Source organism: Homo sapiens, chromosome 10, assembly GCF_000001405.40.
Source record: "Homo sapiens chromosome 10, GRCh38.p14 Primary Assembly".
NCBI lineage: Eukaryota > Metazoa > Chordata > Mammalia > Primates > Hominidae > Homo > Homo sapiens.
In genome coordinates this window covers 7,573,215-7,600,084 of record NC_000010.11, presented here as the reverse complement: position 1 = coordinate 7,600,084, position 26,870 = coordinate 7,573,215, and the positions used below count along the sequence as shown (strand labels likewise).

Below are 26,870 nucleotides of genomic sequence, written 5' to 3'. Positions count from 1 at the left end.
AGAAGCCTCTACTGCCTTCTCTGCTCTGGACTCTGTAGCTATCCACATCCAATCTAGCACAAATAAGGAAGATAAGAAAAAGTAACCAGAGCACCTCTCAATCCCCAACAGTTAAGTTCACCCGTTTTTATAATTTCTTCCCTCTTGCAACAGAAATCTCCGTCTCCAGTCTCATTGGCGACCTTAACTAAGAGTCTGGGAAGATGGAAAGAGACCCAGGAACAGTGTCACTCTCCCTGCCTGGTGGAGGGGCCTCCACTTCCTCTACATATTTTCTTGTATATACAATCTACATTTGTGGATATGCTGTGTTTACTTCTTAAATAATTGTTCCATGATTTTACGTGGAGCATGGCTTTTTCCCAGCCTGTCCATATCTTTGTGTTTCATGTTCTCGATGTTTGTGAAGACACATCTCTGGGAATTTATAATGAGAGGTGTAGGATGGACCAAAGCCAGGGAGAGAGGAATCGTGAGAACTTAAGGGAGAGGGAAAGGCGATCAGGTCAAAGGCAGATGGAGAGTCCGACACCAAAACACCTGTACAATGAAACATGCGGGGATCTAGAATCCAGACCTGCAGTAGGACAATATAAACTTCAGATTTAGACCAGGAGTGAGAAACCAAGAACTCAATCATTTTATCAGTTAGCGTGTCAGAACAGCGGATGGGAGACACCAGTTACACACAGAGCTGAACCTCTCTTGGTCAGCATCATCCTCTTACTTCCTATTAGAGCAAGCAGCCATGCCTGGGGTTCACCTGGAGCCAAGAGTTAGAGGTAGGTTGGGTTCTTGTTAAGGCTGTCAAGCCTATGTACTAAGGCTGTGTTCTTGGCTAGAATGAGAAGTATGGAATTGACAATGAATGTAAATCCTCTGAAGTACTGACCTTCCACATGAAGAGAAGTGGGAAAAAAAATCTATTTCTAGCCCTGAGTTATTTACACATCAACTATAAAAAATGGATTTGCCTACTATGTCGTAAAGAATAGCAGAAATATTATTGGCAAAGAGCTTTTCAGAAAAACGTACAATGACATGATTAGGTAAATGTTTGATACACTTGTCAAAGCAAAGTCAAAACATTAGATAACTAATCTTAACATAAGCAGAGGGTTAAGATGAGACAGTTCGCTTCTCAAGTTAGAGTAATGTTATGCAAACACAAAGATTAATGGAATTAGTTTTGTTTATATTGCAAAAAATGTTTTAATATCTAAACCTATTCAGCCTTTTTAAAAAAAGTTAAGGCTGACTTTAGCCAGAATTTAATCTTTAGCAATCTTTCTATTTTAGGACCAGTCTTGAAGTGGTATTGGTATTTAGAAACTTTACAATAAAAGTGTTTTTTGTCTTGCTATGAAGAAATAATTTGTTTATATTTTTACATAGATGGGGTAAACATATATGCAAATAAGTATTTTGAATCAGAGTTGCGATATTATATAGCACAATACTGCATTCAAAGAGCATTTGAAAGGAGACTTTAAGCAGTAAATGAAAGTGTAGTAGATTAAAATAATATATTTTAAAATATAGGAGCCCTGTGATTTTGCTTCATTGAAGAAATACGCTTTTCTTGGCAATGTGAATGAAAAAATGTTGAGAACAAAGAAAAATGTTTTCTACATTTACTTCTAAGTGAAATTTCATTAAACTGTTTTAAAATATTTGAAGACATATGACTTCTATCCCAAATTTTCCATTTTATGAAGAAAGCTAATTAGTTTCTGCCATTTCTCCAAAAAATATTTTGGCCAGTAGAAAAATCGTTCTAGTTTCTTGCAACAAGATTTCCCTTGTTGACAGAGACACCTTTTTTGGTTATCTTCTGTATGTTACAATTAAACATTTTTATTTTTAATATGAATTATATAATGTGGTTCATTTCAGGAGGTATTTGTAGCAGAGGGGCAACAAAAGGAACTTGGCATTGCACGATCATTGATTTCCTTTAGGCATTTTCATAACCCCCTGAAGTGTTACTTACACTCTTACACTATAGTCAATGGAGTAGCATTCTTTTGTAATGTTTTGATTTCTTCTTGGGAGCCAATCTGTTGCTAGATTTTTTAGAAGTACAACAATGATATGGACCCAAATACATTATGGCGAACTGGTTCTTCTTACTCAATTTATTGCCTTACTCCTAAGACTGGGGATTAAAAAAAAAAAATCTGATTATTTGGTGGGTCAGTCACAGTAAGATTTCAGAAAAGCTTCCTTCAAATTACTGAATGACCTGCAGAATGTAACATAAGTTTATATTACCTTTTATAGAATAAGTTTTTGTAATCTTGTAATACTATGGACTTGGAATACCCCCACTGAGGCTTAGTGGACACCCAGAGCCTGGGGACATCCCTTGGCAAGTCATGGCTACTCTGGTCTCAGCCATGACCGTGACTCCAAGGTGACTTGGGACCATGCTGTGTACGGGTGTCTCTGGGGTACAGAGGGGGTGACTCCAAGGTGACTTGGGACCATGCTGTGTACGGGTGTCTCTGGGGTACAGAGGGGGTGACTCCAAGGTGACTTGGGACCATGCTGTGTATGGGTGTCTATGGGGTACAGAGGGGACAACAGATCTGAGGCTGGGAAGGCAGACATTTCCATTCTCCTCACTGTGGGCTTAGGCAAGAAGTTTCAGGTTGCAGTAAGAATCTGTTGTTGTGAACTTTGAAGTCACAGATAGTTTTTAATTTTGGTTGGTTCCTTCAGATGGCGTGATGACGGGGCCATACTACCACCCACCAAGGGGCACTGAGGACCTCCTGCCTGCTGGGTCAGGAAGGCCCAAGGACAGTACAGACACCTGCCCCCTCCCCACTGGTGTCCATGGCCTCTGCCCACCTTAGAAAGGACAAAGGCTGACTTGTCACTACAGCTTGTCTTGGGCATATTTCATTTTCCAAAATTACCTTTCAGAAACTTAGGGCTGTTTTCATTTGCTGATCATGATTCTCTTCCATGGCTCAAATCAGGCTTTTAGAAGGTCTTTGATTTCTTTGGTGGAATTTTTTTTTTTTTTTTTTTTGAGTTGGAGACTCACTCTGCACCCAGGCTGGAGTGCAGTGGCATGGTCTCTGCTCACTGCAACCTCCACCTCCTGGTTTCATGCAATTCTCCCGCCTCACCTCCCGAGTAGCTGGGATTACAGGCATGCACCGTCATGCCTGGCTAATTTTGTATTTTTAGTAGAGACGGGGTTTTGCCACGTTGGCCAGGCTGGTCTCAAACTCCTGACCTCAGGTGATCGTCCTTCCTCGACCTCCCAAAGTGTAATCCCAAAGATTACAGGCATGAGCCACTGCACCCGGCCTTTACTGGATTATTTTAAATTGTTCATCTTAGGTCTTTCCCTTAGGCTCATTCAAAAGAACTGTGTGGATCAATGGGAAGGAAAATGTCAACTCCCTGGTGAACATTTTAGACTGAGGCAAGTGATGGTGCCACTCAGGAGAACAGCGTGATCATTGTGCAGGAGGCGTGGAATGGCTAATGCTGAGTTCCCTTGAACTTGGATTCATCTGTGATGTCATGGGTTCTCCTTGTCTTATGCTCAAAAACCTAGGGTTTGTGGCACAAGAGCCTTTTGTGTCAGGGTTAGTTCCCATCAAATATGGTTTGAGAAAAGCTGCATTGTGGGTACCCGATGGAAGTGGGAGGAAGCCGTGGGCCGCAGCTGGCTCTTCCGTGGGCTCCCTTGACTTCCCCTCTGAGGGTCTTATTAGACGCGATTCTACTTGGGAAATGTTTACTGGTCATTCATGGCATGGTAGTTAACGCAATGGAATGCTTCCCCTTTGAGGGCTGTGCCAAAAGCCTGAAGCTCCTTGGGCTCAGCTTTATAGGAAAGAGGGAGCGGAAGAGAAAGGAAGACCCTATCTCTTGTTTCCAGTGCAGCTTCATGCAGGGCCTGTGGTGTGCAGGACAGACACCATTAAAGAGACTCTGTAATATTCCTCCCCAAAGATCCGCTAGAACAAGCAAGACCATTGCCAGCTGTACTGAAGGGATGGAGAATCTGAAATAGAGTTTACATTTATTTGTTTATTTATTTATTTATTAATTTAGACGGAGTCTCGCTCTGTTGCCCAGGCTGGAATGCAGTGGCGTGATCTCGGCTCACTGCAACCTGTGCCTCATGGGTTCAAGCGATTCTCCTGCTTCAGCCTCCCGAGTAGCTGGGACTACAGGCACGTGCCACAATGCCTGGCTAATTTTTTGTATTATTAGTAGAGATGGGGTTTCACCATGTTAGCCCGGATAGCCTCAATCTCCTGACCTCATGATCCGCCCGCCTCGGCTTCCTAAAGTGCTGTGATTACAGGCGTGAGCCACCACACCCGGCCAGAGTTTACTTATATTTATGTCCTGCCTTGTGCCTGGAAGAATTTAAATAGAAAGAAATTAAAGGACTTACTTAATAGTAAATCTAAGATGGAGCTGGAATGGACTTCTAAGATAGTGTTTTTAAAGCAAATAGGCTTTTGTTCTTTTAACCCAAGTGAAGTACGTATAAGAAGAGGAATTCATCACCATAAAATAGTATTAAACAGAGTAATCTCTATCCTTTGTGACTCTAGTAAGAAGAGGAATTCATCACCATAAAATAGTATTAAACAGAGTAATCTCTATCCTTTGTGACTCTAGATAACTAGGGTTAGAAGGAATCTTGTGTAATGCCTGCATCCAGGCCAAGGTATGTCTTCGCTACCCGAATAGTAAGAAATATATTCTTTCCGTTTACTAAGTGTATCTATCTGGGCGCGATTTTCAAAATCTCCCTTCAGTCCAAACATAATCTGGTATTTTTTATTTTTTCAATTTTAATTTTATTATTTTTTTATTTACATTTTAGAGCTAGGGTCTCGCTCCGTTGCCCAGGCTGAAGTGTAGTGGCATGATCCTAGCTCACTGCAGCCTCAAACTCCTGGGCTCCAGTGATCCTCCTGCCTCAGCCTCCTGAATAGCTGGGACCACAGCCATTGCTCCTAGCCTGGAATTTTTAAAAGATCTCTTCTGATGACATGTGGACCCATGTCTGCAGCTTGTCCTCTTGTGTTAGCAGAGATGACGCCCATTCACTATGGATTGTGCTTTTAGGAACTGGCACGGACCCCCCAGGGGAAACCCGAAGGGCCTCTTGTGGGTTGACCTCTGTAAGAACCCTGTTTTCCTCCTCAGTGAGGCCCACAGGTGCCCCTTATGTTTATCCCCTAGGCACAGGGGCTTGGTGTTCCTGCCTCTTCCTGATCCGCCACTCTCCCCAAGACTTGCTAATTCCTCCCCACTGGCTTCCCAGCCAGGAGTTGTCAGGCAGTGACCCTAACCCCATCCCCTTGGTTTCCACCCCAAATAAGCCCTTGTCCTTGTCCAAGAGTATAAAGACAATGAGTTGAAAACTCTTCTTATGGCCCCAAAGAGCAAGAGTGGCCTTCTAAAATCAGACACTTAATCCCCTCGCGAATCAGGCCTGTACCCTGATTGTATTCATCTCCATGAAAACTGCGATACATATGATCATACATTTTATATGCCTGTTTTAGAAGATCTCCAGGGAAGACATTTCCACAGCCCCCTGTGGTCATCTTTTAAGGAATTAACTTCATGACTCCAACATGTATGTTTTGGGGGTACCTGTCTCAAGCAGGCTGGCCTCTTTCTAGCATGGAAGGCCCCTAGAGGGAGCTTAGAGGACACGAGCGTGGCTTCCTGGGGTGCCCAGTGTCTCTTCCTTCAGGCCTAGTTAGTTGGAAAGAGCATTGAGGGTAAGTGGTGACCAGCTGTGTCCATCACCTGCACTGGAAGAGTCTACAGCTCTTCCTAGCCATGATCATGCAGCCTCAGGATTGGGAGGGACTCTGAACGGGGATCTTGTCCAGTCCCTGAAGTGATGTTCCCTTTTCCTCTGGACAGGCTCAGAGGACACAACTTCTGCCTCTCTGGGCATCCTCTGATCTGTCTGGAATGTGCTTACCCTGTTCTCTGGACTGTGCTCCTGGCAGAGTCTGACTGCATTTCAGTTCGTCTTCAGCATCTGAACACGATGTGCAGAAAGATCAGCTCCAGCCCCTCACATGAACCCTTCTGTGTGGACGCTCCTCCTCTTTCCTCTTAAGCCTCCCACAGGAGGCAGAGCTCTTGGCTGCTCAGCCCATTGGAGGTGGGAAGGCAAGTCAAGGGTTAACAGAGCCAGTGGCTGCAGTCTGCAAGGATTGGTGGGGCCAGGTGGCTGCAGTCTGCAGGGGTGAATGAGGTTGGGTGGCTGCAGTCTGCAGGAGTTAGTGGAGGAGGTGGCTGCAGTCTGTAGGGATGAGTGGGGCTGGGTGGCTGCAGTCTGCAGGGGTGAGTGGGGCTGGGTGGCTGCAGGCTGCAGGGATGAGTGGGGCTGGGTGGCTGCAGGCTGCAGGGGTGAGTGGGGCTGGGTGGCTGCAGGCTGCAGGGGTGAGTGGGGCTGGGTGGCTGCAGGCTGCAGGGGTGAGTGGGGCTGGGTGGCTGCAGGCTGCAGGGGTGAGTGGGGCTGGGTGGCTGCAGGCTGCAGGGGTGAGTGGGGCTGGGTGGCTGCAGTCTACAGGGGTGAGTGGGGCTGGGTGGCTGCAGGCTGCAGGGGTGAGTGGGGCTGGGTGGCTGCAGTCTGCAGGGGTGAGTGGGGCTGGGTGGCTGCAGGCTGCAGGGGTGAGTGGGGCTGGGTGGCTGCAGTCTGCAGGGGTGAGTGGGGCTGGGTGGCTGCAGTCTGTAGGAGTCAGTGCCTGCCCCCTCTGGAATGAGGGCAGGAGTCCATCCACATGGTTCTCCTCTGAGTGGGAATGGAGCCACCGGGAGGTGCCTGGGCTGCCTTCCCTGGTGCACGCAAGGACAAGTTGCAGCTGAGGCCTTACAAGGTCATAAGGAGCCTGTAGCTGCTGAGCTGAGGGAAGGAGGGTAGAGAGATTGAATAGCTCTTCCTAAAGCAGAATATCCGTCCTGTGGGGAAAAAAAAATGCCAGCTTAAGAGCTAGGCGGGTCCCTCTGGAGGTTCTTGGCACACTGTGAAGGATCCCCAAGGATGCCAGCAGCTAAAGCAGCAGCTCTGCCATGGGTGGCCTTCCTGGCAGGCCCCCATGCAGCCTGACCACTCTGGGCCCAGCAGTGTGCAGCATGGAGACTCTCAGGAGGGCCTGAGAACTGGGCCCAGCACCCCAGCACTGCCCCACCACCGCCACTGCATGCTGCTGTCCCTCCCATCCCAGCCGGCACCTTCAGTCCTTCCTGGGTGGGGACACCTGGACTGTGAGTGCGCAGGGTCTGTCTGATGCTCACACAGGCTGTGCTGAGCCCAGGATGAACCAGGGTGAGAAGGGCCCAGCACCCTGGCTGAGGCCGCCCCTGCCTGTGGAGTGCAGTTCTCCGAGTTATTGATCATCACTGCAGCTTGTCTATCAGGCAGCTTGGAGCTTCCTGCACATCCTCTTTCTCAGTAGTGTCTGTCTTAGGTTCTCAAGGGCTGGGCTGTGTCTCATGTCCCTTGAATTCACCAACAGAACCTCTCTGTCTCTTTCTCCTCCCCTCTATTTTCCTCTTTCCCCTACTCTTTCTGTTTCTCTCTTTCTCTCTGTCCCTCTCTGAGTATTCTGTCTGTCTGTCTCTGTCTCCTCTATCTCTGTTCTTCTCTGTCGCTGTCTTATTTGTTTAATAATACAGCAGATATTTACTAAAAGCCTACAATGTACAAAATGCCATGATGTTGGGAGGGTGGGGCAGGGCAAGGGGATGGCTGTTTTGAGGAACTCCCTGTCCAGTGTGACAGGTGGATCATTTATTCACTGCTCACTTATTCAGAACACATTTGTCAAGCATCTCCTATGTGCCAGGCACTGCTGGGTATTAAATATAGAATAATAAATATACAATAATAAACCAGAAAAAGTGTCTGGGCATGGTGGCTCACGCCTGTAATCCCAACACTTTGGGAGGCTAAGGTGGGCAGATCACCAGGTCGAGAGATCGATACCATCCTGGCCAACATAGTGAGACCCTGTCTCTACTAAAAATACTAAAATCAGCTGGGCATGGTGACGTGCACCTGTAGCCCCAGCTACTCAGGAGGCTGAGGCGGGAGAATTGCTTGAACCCAGGAGGCGGAGGTTGCAGTGAGCCAAGATAGCACCACTGCACTCCAGCCTGGCGATAAAGCAAGACTCCATCTCAAAAAATAAATAAATAAAATACATAAATAAATAAAACAGAAAAAGCTCCTGCACACAGAAGCATAGACTGGAGATGGACAGACCAGTCAATGCACAGAGAGAGAAGGATGTTCTGTATATCAACGTGAAAGGAGAGAGCAGGGGCCCATGCTTTGGGGAATGGTGGGCAGGGCTGGGAGGCAGGGAAGGGCTCTCTTGGAAGTTCATGTGTAAACCCAGGATTGCAGGACAAGAAGAGACCTGCAGCAGCAAAGACTGAGAGGAAGAGGAAGGGAGCTCCAAGGAAAAAACAGCAGGTGCAAGGGTCTTGGGGAGGGAAAGAGCTTGCAGAAGTCATGGCGGCACAGCGTGGACATTGTGTAGCTGGGGTACGTGTCAGCCAGTGCAGCATCGGGGATGGAGCTGTCATCTGTCTTCACTGTTGAGTTAGGAATGGCCTCACCAAGGAGGGGACATATCAAGTGAGTTTTGAAGGGTGGCTACAGCTCAACGTGTCAGGAAGGCGGGGAAGGAGGGCAGCCCCTGGTGCCACCACAGGAAGTCACGAGAAAGCAGGGTGGGTTTAGGGAAGCTGGGTGTGGGCAAATCAGACCTTGTTGTTGATAGCTGGGGTAGACTAGCAGGAAATAAAAGACAGGGATTTGAACCAGGACCATTTATTTTAATGAGGATTTTGTATCCAAAAAGAGACATTAGGCCAGGCACAGTGGCTCACGCCTGTAATCCCAGCACTTTGGGAGGCTGAGGCAGGCAGATTATGAGGTCAGGAGATTGAGACCATCCTGGCCAACATGGTGAAACCCCGTCTCTACTAAAATAGAAAAAATTAGCTGAGCGTGATGGCGTGTGCCTGTAAGCCCAGCTACGCGGGAGGCTGAGGCAGGGGAATCGCTTGAACCCGGGAGGCGGAGGTTGCAGTGAGTGGATACCGCGCCGCTGCACTCCAGCCTGGTGACAGAGCAAGACTCTGTCTCAAATAAAATAAAATAAGAGACATTAGACTTTATGCTGAGGGCAGCGAGGGGCCATGGAAGGCTTTGAAGAGAGGAGGGTTGAAAATCCACGTGGCAGTAATGCAGAGCCATGCTGGCTCCTTCCTAAAGTGCAAGCCCTTTGTCGCTCCGCTTCCACGTATGGGAATTTATCCTAAGGGAAGAGTCTTGGGCACAAAGACGTGGGGATAATGAGCTTCCCAGCAGCGCTGCTCAGATATTGCAAAATATTAAGACATGGTGGATGCGTGCAGGAGGATGCTGGGTTGCTATTGAAATGACGTGGCAAACATTTCTCCATTGACATGAAAACCGTATATGATACGTTACAGTAAAGAGAAACTTTACAGCACGATGTATGTATTATATGATCCCACTTCCTTTAAAATCACACGTGCACACGCACACAGCCGGGGATGTTTCTGAAGTGGTGTGTGGCACACCAGCATTTTAGTAGTGGTTGTCTCTAGGTAGGCGTGATGATGTGAGTTGTATATGTTTTTCTTCTGATCTTTCAAAAAATGAGTAATATTTTTGTATTAAGAAAAAATACAAAGGAAGTAAAGGAATATCAGTTTATGGTCACAGGGATATTTAGGGAGAGGAGTTGGAATTCCAGGGTGGTGTTGAAGGATGTGAGGGCCTGACATCCAGGCTTCCGCCTTGGACCACGGGTGAAGGTTGCAGTGTCCTCTGTCCCGGGACAGAGAGCAGCGAGGAGAGGGAGATTTAAAAAGATGAAGGTTCCATTCTCCACCGAGTCGAGTCTGAGCTACCTGTGGGACACGCAGGGAGAAAAGGTTGGCAGGTCGGTCTGGATGGAACGAGAGGCCAGCTCCAGAGATAAGTCTGGAAGTTCACAGATGACGATGGTAGTTGGCACCATGGGGATGGATGATGTCACCTGGAGGTGAGAACCTCAGCTGAGAAAAGGACCCTGTGACTCACCCTGAAGGGCCAGCGGGCGGGGGGTGGGGGACAACAGCAAAGCCCAGGGGAGCACCAATCCCCTCCAGGGAGGAGCCGGGGAAGCTAGAGCAGGAGGAGTTTCAAGGAGGGAACAGCATAGACTTGACAATGTCTTCTGCAGAGTGCTGGCACACCTTGGGTGTGGATTCTGTTTATTTGCATGGGATACTTTGACGTATTTCCTGGGGGTGGGAGCCAGGCATGGGAGAGGACGGGAAACCGCTGCAGTCAGCCCCTCTGAACAAGCAGAGTGTCGGGGGATAGGAGGAGGGAATAGCAGAGGAGAGAACAGAGAATAGTGGAGGTCTCCGAGCCCTGGGAATGGAAAGGAGCACTCCATTGCTGTTCTTTTCTCCCCGAAGAACTTGTTGCATTCTTCAGTAGGATGAGAAGGTGGGTTTAATGAAATATGTTCATTGTTCTTGTCCCTGGGCAGGTGCAAAAATCCTGCAGTGCCTTCATTTTTTTTTGAGATAGAGTCTCGCTCTGTCGCCCAGGCTGGAGTGCAGTGGCATGATCCCAGCTCACTGCAACTTCCACTGCCCGGGTTCAAGTGACTGTCCTGCCTCAGCCTCCCAAGTAGCTGGATTACAGGCGCGTGCCACCATGCCCAGCTAATTTTTGTATTTTTTTAGTAGAGACATGGTTTTACCACATGGGCCAGGCTGGTCTTGAACTCCTGACCTCAAATGATTTGCCCGCCTCAGCCTCCCAAAGTGCTGGGATTACAGGTGTGAGCCACTGCGCCCGGCACCTGAGTGCCTTCTGCAAGGATGTTACAGGAGATGGATACATTAGTTGATGCCAGAAATGAAGCAAAAGAAACAAAGAAGTAAACAGAGCCCATCAACATACAGGGACTTGGAAGAGATCCCCAGATTTGCTGCACGTTAAAAGGGTGACAGCTCTGAGCCATCTCGGCTCCAGCCGTCCTGGGGCTGCAGATTCTGCTGCCGTTGGTGCACGTGCTGTCCCTGAAGTCAGACTCCCTGCATTTTAATCCAGTCTCCCATGGAGCATGATGCTTAGCCACTCCATGCCTCAGTTGCCCCATCTGTAAAATGGGAATACTAATAGTTACTTTCCCTCAGGTGGCTCGTAAGATTTAGAATTAATCACCTCAACAGAGGAAGAGCCTGTACACTCCGCATATGCCTAGGGAGTAGGAAGCTCCCGGGAAATGCAAGCTGTTAATATCGTCAGCGTCGTCATCATCATCCTTCTAATGATACCATCAACTCCATTGCTTTCTCAGCCTGGGAATGAAGAAGTGCTGGGAAAGTGGAGGAACATTACTTTAGCAAAAACTCACGGGGAGAAAGTTAGGCGAACGTTTGCTCAGCCAAGAAACTCTTAGTTTACTAGCCCTACAGAAAAGAATATAATGTGCAGATGTGTTTTATTTATTTTTTGAGACACATTTTCACTCTGTCACCCAGGCAGAGTGCAGTGGCACGATCTGGGCTCACTGCAATCTCCGCCTCCCAGGTTCAAGTGATTCTCCCGCCTCAGCCTCCTGAGTAGCTGGGATTACAGGTGGGCCACCACGCCCAGCTAATTTTTTGTATTATTAGTAGAGACAAGGTTTCACCATGTTGGCCAGGCTGGTTTCAAACTCCTCACCTCAAGTGATCTACCCACCTCGGCCTCCCAAAGTGCTGAGATTACACGTGTGCACCACCATGCCTGGCTAATTTTTGTATTATTAGTGGAGATGAGGTTTTGCCATGTTGGCCAGGCTGGTCTCTAACTTCTGACCTTAAGTGATCCGCCTGCCTCAGCCTCCCAAAGTGTTGGGATTAGAGGCATGAGCCACCGCACCTGGCCTAATGTGCAGATTTAAAAATAGATGCATTGAGAATAGTTTTCTGAAGTAGAATTTGAGGTTCCTACAAATTCAAGTTGGACAGTGGAATGTGGGATGAGCAGTTGGATTCAGGATTGAAAGGCGGCTGAGGAGTGAGGAAGAGAGAAAATTCCAGAGGGAAAGGATACGAAAGCAGTGGTTATTTCACCTAGCCAGAGGGGCCGACGGGGCCATCTGTCTGAACCTGGGGAAGGAGGAAAGGCAAAGAGTCATGAACCGGGGAAGAGACCTACAGCGTGTTTCAAGGGTGTCCCAGAGCCACTTAGCACATGTCCTTCTGGAAACCACCACTCCCGACTTCACCGTTTCTCTTAAGCTCTGCCGGGGCTTTCCACCAGCCAGCAAGTAACAGCAAACCCATCTAGAACTCTGATTGTGTGGCTGGCCCTGCTCAGAGCCCTTTTCATCTCGATTCTGATTTAATCCTCATGACAACCTGATGAGGCAGGTACTATTACTGTCCTGATTTTATGGATGGGGTAACTTGGGCGCAGTGATATCAGAGAGCGAGTAAGTGAGGGAGCTTACTGCTCAGGGCCCCAGGGCCCCACGGAGAGTCGGGGATGAACCCAGCCTCAAGGGTGACAGCTGGCTCTGAAGCCTGTGCTCTTCAACTTCGTAAAGGTGCCGGATGTCCTTTCATGGTCATTATATAATGAAAGTCCCTGACCTCCTATGCTGAGCCTGTAAGTGTCTAACAACAGTGCTGCTTGGGAAGACAGAGTTTGCTCACAGTGTCTATGGATTACTATAGAAACCTTTTCTAGGCCCCTAGAGTATTTCTGGTTTCAGGTCATATGGCTTCTTTCTTCTTTCCATTCGTCACAGCTGATTTTAGTGTATACCTGTTATCACTGAGCATCCCTGATCTCACCTGTATTACTTCCTGGCTTTGCTCAAACTGCCTTCCTTCTCTTCAGAATGCCCTTCCAAGCCGGGTGCAGTGGCTCACGCCTGTAATCCTAGCACTTTGGGAGGCTGAGGCAGATGGATTGCCTGAGCTCAGGAGTTCGAGACCACCCTGGGCAACATGGTGAAACCCTGTCTCTACTAAAGTACAAAAATTAGCCAGACGTGGTGGCGTGCACCTGTAATCCCAGCTACTCAGGAAGCTGAGGCAGGAGAATCGCTTGAACCTGGGAGGCAGAGGTTGCAGTGAGCTGAGATCGCGCCACTGCATTCCAGCCTGGGTGACAGAGCGAGAGTTTGTATGAAAAAAAAAATAAGAAGAATGCCCTTCCAGTTCTTTCAATGTATTCTTTAAATCTCATCCTCAAATTCCTCTTTCTCTGTAAGGCCTCATGTCACTCCAGCCCATAGTAATAATCTTTTCAATTCCTATGGTATTTATTATTTGGGCATTTAATTTTATAATTCATTAAACGTTCATTCATTCATTGATTCACCTGCCTCACCTTTGTCTAGCACCTCCTTCTTGTCACTAGCTGTTAGGAAGATGAAGGAGACCCTCCTGCAAAGAACTCACAACCGAGTAAGGGAAGGAGATAAAACAATCATCATCGTGTGATGTGTGCTTTATAATAGGAATGCATTGAGGGCTTTGCCAGCCTAAGGGAGGGAATGATCAGCTCTCTTCAGAGAAGTCAGAAAAATTTCCAACAGAGAATTTGCACACTTGCCTGGCTCTTAAGAATGATGAGGGGCTTGTCAAGTGAAAGATGGAGGTAGGGTGGTGGGGAAGAACATCTGGGGTCAAGAGAACAGCAATTGTGGAGATGCGGAGGCCCGAAGTACCGTGGCGGGATGCGGCATTCAGCACTGATTCACTCGTGTCTACAACCGTAACATCTTTATACCATTTTTTCCAGCTGGGTAACCAATTCCTTGACATTCAGCCAAGTGCCCTTTACATAGCTGACACTGAATTTGAACCCTGACATTTTTCCTGGGGGGCGGGGGCGGTTTCTAGAACAGGGGACAAGTGGACTTATGTGAGCAGCTGTGACTGGTTTTGCTTTTGTGTTTGCCTAGACCAAGGATGCCCTCTTCACAATTCTCCATGACCTCCGACCCCAGGACCGTTTCAGTATCATTGGATTTTCCAACCGGATCAAAGTATGGAAGGACCACTTGATATCAGTCACTCCAGACAGCATCAGGGATGGGAAAGTGTACATTCACCATATGTCACCCACTGGAGGTAAAGATGACACCTTCTTTTCACATTGGCTTGGCTTTGAAATAATGTTTTTTTTTTTGGTTTTTTTTTTTTTTTGCCAAGAGATAAGGATTTGAAAGCTGGGGTTGATGGCAGGAAGGGAGACTGCAGGCGAGAGCTTTCTCAGCAGCTTAGGTTGCTCGGAATACCAAATCCGTACTCTCCTTTCCCAGTCTACAAGTGAAGCTGGTGAAGTTCTGGGGGAAAATAACCTGATAGGTGTTTGGAGGCTTGCCTGGTTCATCTCATGGATCCTGTTAGAAAAAGTCTTGCTGATACAAAAACAATACTGTTTTTGTAAACGGTTTTGGGGTGGAGAATTACAGCCACGTGGACCAGCCAGTGTTTCGTGCGCACCTTGGGCAGGGGCAGGTGGAACTGCTTTGCAAAACAAGGAGCCCTCTTGGTAGAGCTGCAGCAGAGTGAAACAGGTATCCTGGTGGCCCGGGAGGGTTGCGGAGGTAAAATGTGATGGGGAGGATGTGGGCTCTCAGCCACTGCACGCTTGTCTTGGGTGTTGCCCAGGTAAGGGTGCAGAATGTTAAGAGAGGAGAGAAAAGATCATAAAAATTCTGAGAAGAGTGGAGAATCAGAGCAGTGTGTTACCAGCTGTCCTAGATGTTAAGTTCTCCCAACTCAGGACCTGCGCCTTACTCTTGCCATTCCCTGTATCAACAGTACAGTGGACACAGAAGAGGTGCTCAGTATTGGAGCATTTAGCAGAACTTGACCTACTCCCTCCCCCTTCCTTTCAGGCTCTGTACAGAGACACCACCTCCTGGTTAATTCCACTTCAGTTATCTGGAAACATACAAAACACTCTGTTCAGTCTTCTCCCATCTGGGATTTTCCATCTTTCTTATATTCATGGTTTCCCAGTCCAAGACAAAGCCCTCATTTCCCAAATGAACTTAATGTGGAACTTGATCTTGCTGGGCTGGTACTTTCCATTTACACTGGGATTTCCTACTAGCCTCCCAAACAGTATAATCTAGGAACTGTTTTGGTGTTTGATGGGAGAAATAGAAGATTAGATTTAATATGATAGTGATGCTCTACGGCAGGAAGTCCACAACACCATAAAATTCTTGAAGGAACAGATTTCTCTTCATGTTTACATAGCTCCTACCTCCATGCACAGTTCCTAACACAGAGGGCATGCTCAATGGATATTTGTAGATTGGATTTATTTTAATGGCCCTGCTTACTAGCAGAATGATGTGTGTGTGCTGGTGGAGTGGGGGCCATGGAGTAATAAACAGCTTTAGAAAATGGCTGGGCCGGGTGGGGTGGCTCACACTTGTAATCCCAGCACTTTGGGAGGCCGAGGCAGGTGGATCACCTGAGGTCAGGAGTTCAAGACCAGCCTGGCCAACATGGCGAAACCCCATCTCTACTAAAAATACAAAAAGTTAGCCGGGTGTGGTGGCGGGTGCCTGTAATCCCAGCTACTTGGGAGGCTGAGGCAGGAGAATTGCTTGAACCTGGGAGGCAGAGGTTGCAGTGAGCCAAGATCATGCCAGTGCACTCCAGCCTGGGTGACAGCGAGACTCTGTCTCAAAAAAAAAAAAAGAAAAAAAAAAGAAAGAAAGAAAATGGCTGGTGTATGTTATGCTCTTTTGGACTCCAAGCCTTAGAAACCCTGTGGGTTTCCTTTATTTTTCTTGAACTGCATTGCCCTAGCCTCTGCAGGTGAACAGCAGATCAGCCTGCTTCTCTCTAAGACGTGTAGCATCAGGATTGTGAGCATGGATTTGGAAGCCAGACTGCCTGGGTTTGAATCCAGCTCCATCTTCTCTGTGCCTCAGTTTCCTCATCTGTAGAATGAAGATAACAATGGAATCGTTACCAGGATGGAGTGAGTTAAAGCATTTCAAGTGGTTAGAATGGTCCTGGCACATAGGAAGTCCTCTTTAAGCATCAGATGTGGCCATTATTTTCACCCACTCAGGTAACCCCTCTCGCTGGTGCTTGTGAGTCCTTTGATGACAGCTCCTGTCTGTTTTCAGTGGGAAGGAGATGCCCCAGTTGCTGTGGGCTTGATACCAATCCCTGCAGGGCCTCTGGTGGCTGTGTGCCATCGGGAAAGCTAATCCGTCCCTCTGCCTGTGCTCTCCTTGGCTTTAAAGTGGAGTGAGAGATTTGGCACCATTGCTGAATAGAGACAAGAGAAAAAAATGCCAGTTCATCCTTGTTCACACATCCAGGGGCACTAAGAAATTAGACTGGACCTTAAGAAAGGCAAATTAGGCCAGGCGCAGTGGCTCATACCTATAACCCTGGCACTTTGGGAGGCCAAGGCGGGTGGATTGCCTGAGCTCGGGAGCTCGAGACCAGCCTGGGCAACATGGTGAAACCCCATCTCTACTAAAATACAAAAAAATCAGCTGGGCGTGGTAGCTTGCGCCTGTAGTCCCAGCTACTGGGGAGGCTGAGGCAGGAGAATTGCATGAACCTGGGAGGCGGAGGTTGTAGTGAGCCGAGATCGCACCACTGCACTCCAGCCCCGGTGACAGAGTGAAATTCTGTTTCAAAAACAAACAAACAAAAGAAAGGCAAATTAGTGATTCCAATAAAATGTAAAATAACTTTCTTTCCATTTGGGCTCTGCATCTTAGCAAGAATTATGAACATTTGGTCATGGACATAGCCTTATCTACTTTTTTAGCTAGAAAATCTGGAGGATGTTAAGCCGTGGGGGAGATGATCTGGTTCTCTCAGATGCGGTACATTTTAATTTTAATTTTTAATTTTTGTGGGTCCAGAGTAGGTATATGTGTTTATGGGGTATATGAGGTATTTTGATACAGGCATACATTGTGTGATAATTACATCAGATAAATGAGATATCCATCACCTCAAGCATTTGTCCTTTGTTACAAACAATCCAATTATACTCAGTTATTTTTAAGTGTATCATGAAATTATTATTGAATATAATCACCCTGTTGCACTACCAAGTACTAGATCGTCTTCATTCTTTCTAACTTCTTTTTGTACCCATTAACTATCCCTACTTCTGCCCCACCCCCCACTACCCTGCCCAGCCTCTGGAAACCATCCTTCTACTCTTTATCTCCATAAGTTCAATCGTTTTAATTTTTAGCTGCCACAAATAAGCGAGAACATGGGAAGATGGTCTTTCTGTGCCTGGCTTAATTCACTGAATATAATGAGCTCCAGTTCCATCCATCTTGTTGCAGATGACAAGATCTCATTCTTTTTTGTGGCTGAATAGTGCCCCATGGTATATATGTACCACAAATGTGGTAAAATTTGCAGGTAGAGAAAAGTCACTCCAGTCAGGATGATGGATGGTGGTGATGGTCATCAAACTCTAAATTTACTACAAATCATGAATTGGACACTTAGAATGGGTGATCTTTTGGTATGTAGATTTTATCTTAAGCCATTTTAAAAAAAAAACAAAGGAAATAGGTGTTCACACTACAGTAAGGTCTCTGCTTTACTTGGTAATGGTGGGATGTTGGTAGCTTAGTCCAGTGGAATTCTTAGCTAACCCAGAAACCTCACTGTAGCTGGGGTTTCAACCTCAACCACCCAACCACCTGTCTCCCCATCCACCAAACAAATACTTGTTCAGCTCCTATCAAAGACACAGGCCCCAACTTTATTTATTTATTTTGCTCCCAAACTTAAATTGTCTGATTTATTTTAATCATAAAGTAGTAAATTTAAGAATACATGGGGCCAGGTGCTGTGGCCCCTGCCAGTAATCCCAGCACTTTGGAGGCCGAGGCGGGCAGATCACAAGGTCAGGAAATCAAGACCAGCCTGGCCAACATGGTGAAACCCGTCTCTACTAAAAAAGTACAAAAATTAGCCAGGCATGGTGGCGTGTGCCTGTAATCCCAGCTACTCGGGAGGCTGAGGCAGGAGAATTGCTTGAACACAGGAGGCAGAGGTTGCAGTGAGCCAAGATCACGCCACTGCATTCCACCTTGGGCGAAAGAGCATGACTATATCTCAAAAAAAAAAAAAAAAAAAAAAATACATGGGTGGCCGGGCATGGTGGCTCATGCCTGTAGTCCCAGCACTTTGGGAGGTTGAGGTGGGAGAACTGCTTGAGCCCAGGAGTTCGAGACCAGCCTGGGCAACATAGTGAGACCCTGTCTCTAAAAAAAAAAAAAAAAAAAAAAAGAAGGAAAAGAAAAGAAAACATGGGAACATTCTTTTTAAAGGAAGCAGTAACCTGTAGTGTAACATACATGCAGAAAAATGTACATGTAGTAAGTGTACAACTTGATATGTTTTCATAAACTGAACAGAACCTGGACCCAGATCAAGAAACAGAACATTTAGAACTCCAGAAGCCTGCTCATGTTCTCACACCATTTTTTCCATGGAAGTATCTATTCTAAAACATTTGAGGAATAAAGAAAATCATCAAAAGAAAAAAAGGAGAGAAAAACCTCCTGCTGTCCACAGATGCCTGCTAATGTCATTGGTGTTTATTGTTCCATCATTTCTCAGAGTTGAGATTTGTTTTCTGTTTCGTATGGTTTTTCTAAGCCACATATTCCTGATAAAATTTTTCTTCCCTTTCGCCCCCAACTTTATTTTATTTATTCATTTATTTATTTTATTTTTATTTTTTCTGTTGAGACCGCGTCTCACTCTGTTTCCCAGGCTGGAGTGCAATGGCACGATCTTGGCTCACTGCAACTTCCGTCTTCTGGGTTCAAGTGATTTTCTGACCTTAGCCATCCGAGTAGCTGGGATTACAGGCATGTACCACCATGCCCGGCTAATTTTTGTATTTTTGGTAGAGACAGGGTTTTGCCATGTTAGCGAGGCTGGTCTCGAACTCCTGACCTCAGGTGATCCACCCACCTTGGCCTCCCAGAGTGCTGGGATTACAGGCATGAGCCACCGTGCCTGGCTGGCCTCCAACTTTAATCAGAGCTGTTGCTGACAAGGGCCTCTGAAGGAAAAAGGGTGGCCAGGAGGAGAAATATTTCATGGCTCCTTTCTCTGTGGGGTTCTGGCAAGCAGAGGTGATCTGAAGGGACAGGAAGCAAAGAAAGGAGAGACGATGAAGGCAACAAATTCATTCTTTCATCAGCTCCACCTAGCCCTAGACAACACTGGAAGGCATCTGAGATGTCAGCAGCTACCCTCCTCCTCTTCGTTCCATGCCCCTCCTCCCCTCTGCGGCTCTTTCTCCCTCCACATTCCTGCTGTCTTCTATGCTCAACACCTTCCTGCTCTTTTCAAAGCCATTCTCAGAAGAGGGCACAGAAGCCATTGAAGCTCAGGTAAGCTAAGGCGTCGCCACATGCCTTCTGGAGAAGGTTTGTTACAGTGGGATAATCCCCATTCACTTATATGCATTTAGTAAATGCACTTGCTTTTAGCAAGTTTCTGGATGGCCCCTTAACACCTCACTCCTGTGAGCATTTGGGTGGTTGAGCGTGAACTGCAGCTATGAAAGTGCATTCAGGCTGGGCATGGTGGCTCATGCCTGTGATTCCAGCACTTTGGGAGGCCAAGGTGGGCGGATTACTTGAGGTCAGGAGTTTGAGACCAGCCTGGCCAACATGGTCAATCCCATCTCTACTAAAAATACAAAAATTAGCCAGATGTGGTGGTGTGCACCTGTAATCCCAGCTACTCGGGAGGCTGAGGCGGGAGAATCGCTTGAACCTGGGAGGCGGAGGTTGCAGTGAGTGCAGATTGCGCCATTGCACTCCAGCCTGGGTGACAGAGCAAGACTCCGTCTCAAAAAAAAGAAAGTGCAATCAGAGTGCGGAGGTGAGTGCAGAGGCTTGAGCTGTTCCGTGTTGGTGTCCTGCAGGCACAGACATCAACGGGGCCCTGCAGAGGGCCATCAGGCTCCTCAACAAGTACGTGGCCCACAGTGGCATTGGAGACCGGAGCGTGTCCCTCATCGTCTTCCTGACGGATGGGAAGCCCACGGTCGGGGAGACGCACACCCTCAAGATCCTCAACAACACCCGAGAGGCCGCCCGAGGCCAAGTCTGCATCTTCACCATTGGCATCGGCAACGACGTGGACTTCAGGCTGCTGGAGAAACTGTCGCTGGAGAACTGTGGCCTCACACGGCGCGTGCACGAGGAGGAGGACGCAGGCTCGCAGCTCATCGGGTCTGTGGTCTGTCTTCGTAGGCATGAGAGGCTGTTTGAGGGGCTGAGGGGTGGCTGCGGTGGGAATTCAGAGAGGAGTGTGTTGCTGCACCCCAGCCTTGCATCTGCTGACAACGATCATAGCTCATTGCAATGGGAGGTGTCACCATGTGTTTTGAAACTAGGCAGATCAGAGTTCGAATTCTGATCCTCCTTTATGACTTTAGGCAAGATTTTTTTTTTTTTTCTTGTGATGGAGTTTCGCTCTTGTTGCCCAGGCTGCAATGCAATGGCGTGATCTCAGCTCACTGCAACCTCTGCTTCCTGGGTTCAAGCAATTCTCTTGCCTCAGCCTCCTGAGTAGCTGGGACTACAGTCACACACCACCACGCCTGGCTAATTTTGTATTTTTAGTAGAGACAAGGTTTCTCCATGTTGGTCAGGCTGGTCTCGAACTCCTGACCTCAGGTGATCTGCCCGCCTTGGCCTCCCAAAGTACTGGGATTATGGGCGTGAGCCACCACACCCGGCCCTAAGCAAGATTTTAAGACAGTCTGTACCTCCGTTTTCTCATCTGTAAAATGAGGATTATGGTTGGTTGCAGAATTTAATGAGAAAATCGCTATATAAAAACACTATGTATAGCACTGGCACAGTGGCCATCCCATATTAAGTATTTAATGAGCTCTCATAGTTCATTGACATCCTGATATTTCAAAGCACTTTCTAGTAAGTTTACTTTTATTCTACCCTGTGAGCAAGTAGCAGAGTACTGTTATGTTCATTTTGAGTACTAGTTAAAAGATACTTTTATTTGGAAGCAAAACCATCAGATAAAACTGTTAAATAATCAGATTATTTTGAGGTGGAGAATAAATGAGATCTTTTAAATGAGAGATGGAGAAAACTCAGATCTTTTAAAACAGAAATAGCTTCCCTCCGATATTATGTTGCCACGCATCAGTCTGCTCCTTTGCTGTTCATTGAGTGAAGTGCCAGCTCCCAGTTCAGCGTGAGGTGCTTTAATCTGCATCGTGGCATATGTGGTATCTACTTAAAAGCAAAGGGGAGGTTTGGGTAGATTTATAGGTGTTTAATAGCCATAGTCAAAGCACATTTATTAATGATAAATGGAAATGGAGACACCTAAGGTGTGCAGTAAAGACAGGTCCTCGGTTTGGGATTCGCCACCGTTTCCTCCCACGCATTTTAATGAAAGATTTAAATGAAAACACAGATTTGCTTTCCACATTTTAAAAATTATTCAAAACTAGAGTCAAAGGGGAGAATCTGATACACTGGATAACAGAATTGAAATTCAATAAGGCATTCAGAAGCAAAAGCAGTTATGCTGTAACAAGTCAGCTGCACTGCCATCCCACTGAAACTATGATCGATACCTGGCATTTATGAGAACTTATGATACACCAGGAACTTCGATGTGCATCATCCCAGATGATCCTCACAGAAATCCTAGGAGGTAGGTGTATTAGGGTAAAGGCTAAGCTGCAATACAGAGATGATGAAAGGCAAAGGCTGAAATAAGATAGCCATTTCCTTCCCTCTCCTGTAATGGTAACAGGCTAGATCCTGCTCCCAGAAGTCATTCAGGGACCCAAGCTCCTTCTGTTTTATTGCTCTGCTTCCCTCAGGTGTTGTCCTTAATGCTACAGGATTGAAATTCAGTCACTATCACTCTTGTTTTCTAGCCGCAAAAAGGGAGAGAGAAAAGAAAGCCAGCATGGATTGTAAGCAAATATTGAGAAGTTGCACATCTCACTGCTACCCATATTCCATTGGGAGGACATAGTCACATAGCCATTTGTGGCCTCGATGGAGGCTGGGAAATGTAGTTTGTAGCTGGATGGCCGGAGCTCAATTCTCATGAAAGAAGGGGAAAATGGACTTTCAGGGACAGCTAGTAGGTGACCAAAGAAGTACTGTTTACATCCTGATTTTCTAGATAAGGAAACTCAAGTTCAGAGAGGTTAAGTCACATGTCCCAAGACACACAGCAAGGAAGCAACAGAGATGGAAGTCTAACTCCACAGCCTATGGTTTCTAGGCCTTTTGAAAGGGAATTTTAATTGTCTCCTTACTTAGCAAGAAGCGACCATGCAACTTAACTACAAGGAAAGCAAATGCAAGCAAATGTTATACGCACAAACTCACGAAAGTCAGGTTTCTGAAGTAGAATGCGCTGCTTAAAGCACATCTGGAATTTGTATTTGGTTCTAAGAAAAAGGTTTTTAAGAGTCCCTTTAAGAAACGTAAGTGTACACAAAGGAAATTTACCAAGACTGGTGAGGGAATCTTGAAATTGTATCACAGGAAGAATAGTTCATGAAACTGGGGATTGACTGGGCTTAAAGGAATGCACAGCATTGTTTTTTAAGCATCCAAATGTCTGTTGAAATGGATTACACTAATTCGATATTGTTCCAGAGGCAAAACTGAAACCAGTGGGTGGAAATTTCAGGGAGGAAGATTTTAATCTACTATAAGCAGGTTTTTTCTCATCATGAGAGTGGTTGAAAAACAGCTCAGAAGCCGCGTGAGAGAATGCATTCCCTCTCACCAATGGTGTTCAACCTGCTGCCTAGTGATCTCCTGGCAGAAATATTGTGTGGGGTGCCATGTTGGACTCAATTGCTTCTAAAATCAGATGCATCCCCCTGAGAGTCTGCAGTTTCCTTTAGGACTGTCCTGCCTGCTGTCAGAGCAGGGCCCTGATCTCCCTCCCTCCCTGTGCTTCCACTGCAGGTTCTACGATGAAATCAGGACCCCGCTCCTCTCTGACATCCGCATCGATTATCCCCCCAGCTCAGTGGTGCAGGCCACCAAGACCCTGTTCCCCAACTACTTCAACGGCTCGGAGATCATCATTGCGGGGAAGCTGGTGGACAGGAAGCTGGATCACCTGCACGTGGAGGTCACCGCCAGCAACAGTAAGAAATTCATCATCCTGAAGACAGATGTGCCTGTGCGGCCTCAGAAGGCAGGGAAAGATGTCACAGGAAGCCCCAGGCCTGGAGGCGATGGAGAGGGGGACACCAACCACATCGAGCGTCTCTGGAGCTACCTCACCACAAAGGAGCTGCTGAGCTCCTGGCTGCAAAGTGACGATGAACCGGAGAAGGAGCGGCTGCGGCAGCGGGCCCAGGCCCTGGCTGTGAGCTACCGCTTCCTCACTCCCTTCACCTCCATGAAGCTGAGGGGGCCGGTCCCACGCATGGATGGCCTGGAGGAGGCCCACGGCATGTCGGCTGCCATGGGACCCGAACCGGTGGTGCAGAGCGTGCGAGGAGCTGGCACGCAGCCAGGTACGAGGCACCTGTGCCAGCCAGGTGTGGGGGACGCGGGCCTGAGATACCACTCACCTCCTCCACAGGAAGCCCCAGCAGGAAGCTGTGTTATTCCATCTTGCTATAATACTTATAAACAATAACCCAGACCGGGTATAGTAGCTCACACCTGTAATCCCAGCACTTTGGGAGGCTGAGGTGGGATCCCTTGAGGCCATGAGTTCAATACCAGCTTGGGCAACACAGAGAGACCCTGTCTCTACAAAAGAAAAAAAAATTAATTATCTATGTATGGTGGAATGCCTGTAGTCTCAGCTACTCAGGAGGCTGAGGAAGGAGGATCACTGGAGCCCAGGAGTTTGAGGCTGCAGTGAGCCATGATCGTACCATTGCTCTCCAACCTGGGTGACAGAGCAAGACCCCGTCTCTAAAAAAACAACCAACCAAAAAGCAATAACACTATATACAGCTCATAATCTTCAGGGAGTATTGTAGACTGTTGTATGTGCATTACTATACACTGTGGCTGTCTAGAGAAATGAGAAAAAGGTGGCATTTGGTTCAGAAATGTCACCTAGTGAAGTCAGTCCATCAATAAAGCATCAATAAACTGAGTGCTTGCCAGGTTTCAGGCATGGGCGGAAGCACTGAAATGAACATACCAGTGCCCATTTTTCAGTGCCTTTCTATATTTTCAAGCACTTCAGAGTTATGTAGTATAATTTAATTGTGTGCTTGATTTTATTTCCCCGAGAGCATGTGGGAAGGACCAAGGTACGGATTCTTGCAAGAATCCGGTCTTTCCATGTCAGTCTCTGAGAATCTGAACAGAAGCAGGCACAGTCAGTCCCGGTGCCATTCTGCTGCGGGGATGAGTAGAGACGAGAACAAGAGAAAGGAAACACAGTGAAACCAAAGCAGGGCATTGTATTCCTGGCAGATCTGCGTGTGGAAAATCGCGTTTCACATGCATCACATTTTTACTGGGCTCCTGTCAAGTTCTCTCTCCTAGGAGAGGAAACTGAGTTTGGTCGGACCCTACTCTGCACCCCACCAATGCTGTCCCATTTATTCCTCACACTCTAAAGTCTTAGAAGGACCTGGGTGTGGAGAAAGCATGCAGTTAGGATTCACCAACCCTCCTGACCAGCTGTGAGGCCTGAGGCAGGTTTCTCAACCTCTCTGAGCTTCCATTCCCACTCCCCAGCCCTGAACACGGAGATAATCATAATTTCCCTGCAGGGCTGTTGTAAGAACTAAATATGGAATGCCGTGGGCACACAGTGAGTTTTGCACAAATGTCAGACACGCCTTCCGTGGAGGCACGGAATACCAGAAATGTATTGAAAAGTTCGGACCCTGATAGCGAGGTTGCAATTGACATGGCTATTTCAGAAAGCGTGGAGCTTGTCTTGGCAAAACGTACACAATTTTTGTTGTGATTAAAAGCATGTGGCAGGATGCTATCACTTTCTACCTATGAGATCCATGCCACATCCAGGAAAAGTGGCTTTCTGAATAAGATCTTGATGCTAGGTCATCAGCGCAAATCTCCACAGCTTCAGGAGAGATCGGATCTGGACCATACAAGACTCGGGGGGCCAGAAAGACAGAGGAGGAGATAACCAACTGACTACTCGAAAGGGTTTTTTTTTGCTTTTTTTTTTTTTTTTTTTCCGAGATGGAGTCTCGCTCTTTCGCCCAAGCTGGAGTGCAGTGGTGCTATCTCGGCTCACTGCAAGCTCTGCCTCCCAGGTTCACGCTATTCTCCTGCCTCAGCCTCCCAAGTAGCTGGGACTACGGGTGCCCACCACCGCGCCCGGCTAATTTTTTGTATTTTTAGTAGAGATGGGGTTTCACCGTGTTAGCCAGGATGGTCTCAATCTCCTGACCTTGTGATCCGCCCACCTGGGCCTCCCAAAATGCTGGGATTACAGGCATGAGCCACTGCGCCCGGCCGGTTTTTTGTTTTTTGTTTTTTAAATGAAGATTCTTCCTTTCCTTAAAGCTCTGATGGTTTTTAAATTTAAATTTTAATTTTTTTGAGAGTTGGTGGCAGCTGCCACTCCTCAAATCAGTCATCCAGTCATCCATCCTCTTTCCTGGCTAATCTACATTCTGCCCAGATCACGCTGGTCAAGACCAGTATTGAGAAGGGAGTACTTCAAGAACCTTTAGATATCTCACTCTTTAATTTCTGTGAGCAATAAAAACCAGAGAAGAGGAGCACAATTTTACCTAGTACTAACAATTTGACGTAAGATATTGATTTTATTTATAGATATTAATTACTTTTAGGTTATTCTTTCATTGAATATTTATTCAAAGCACCAGTACTTTGAAATACAAAGTGTTTCAAAATCTTCTGCTTTGTAAATTCCGCCGCACACATAGCTACAGACACTGGATTATAACTGTACCTCTTTTATTACATTATTGTTTGTTTTTGTTTTTGTTGTGAACATAAAATTTACCACCTTACCCATTTTTAAGCGTACAGTTCAATGCTGGTAAGCGATGTTAGGTATATTCACACTGTTGTGAAACAGATCTCTAGAACTTTTCCATCTTGCACGTCTGAAATGCTACAGGCCCACTGAACAACAGCTCATTTCTCCCTTCCCCTATAAATACATCTCAAGTGTGATAAAATATTTTCCCCTATAATATACACAAAAATCACAGAAAAGAATAGTATCTAAATCATACAATAATTAAATAATTAATCCTACACACTTTACATTCCACTTGTGTAGTTTCTATTCTATTCTTTTTTTTCCTTTTTTTTTTTTTTTTTGAGACAGTCTCACTCTGTTAACCAGGCTGGAGTGCAGTGGTGCAGTCACAGCTCACTGCAGCCTTGATCTCCTGGGCTCAAGTGATCCTCCCACCTCAGCCTCCCAAGTAGCTGGGACTACAGATGTGTGCCACCTTGTTGGGTTAATTTTATTTATTTATTTTTTTTTTGTAGAGACAGGGTCTCACTATATTGCCCAGGCCGGTCTCGAACTCCTGGGCTCCAGTGATCCTCCCACCTTGGCCTCCGGAAGCACTGGGATTATGGACATGAGCCACCATGCCTGGCTCTGCTTGTGTGTTTTGAGGCCAAGCTCCCTTTTTAAGACTGATGATGTTTTAAAGGTCTTTTGATTATTTAAGCTGTTACAAACGTACCTAAAAGCTGTGTTTTGCTCATGTCTCCTCTCTCCCTTTGCACCTCTCTCTTCATCTTCTTTAAGGAATGACCATGATGTTC

At 46.8% G+C, this 26,870-nt stretch overlaps 1 protein-coding gene across 5 annotated transcripts in view; it reads left to right on the top strand.

Moving 5' to 3' along the window:
• Positions 1–26,870, top strand: part of ITIH5 (inter-alpha-trypsin inhibitor heavy chain 5) — a 107,697-nt gene that overhangs the window by 66,882 nt on the left and 13,945 nt on the right. For all 5 annotated transcript variants that reach the window (NM_030569.7, XM_011519713.4, NM_032817.6 and 2 more), the window contains 3 exons: positions 14,016–14,184; positions 20,021–20,330; positions 23,073–23,632. In NM_030569.7, the coding sequence (NP_085046.5) occupies positions 14,016–14,184; positions 20,021–20,330; positions 23,073–23,632 (1,039 nt within the window). The remainder of the gene's footprint in view (positions 1–14,015; positions 14,185–20,020; positions 20,331–23,072; positions 23,633–26,870) is intronic.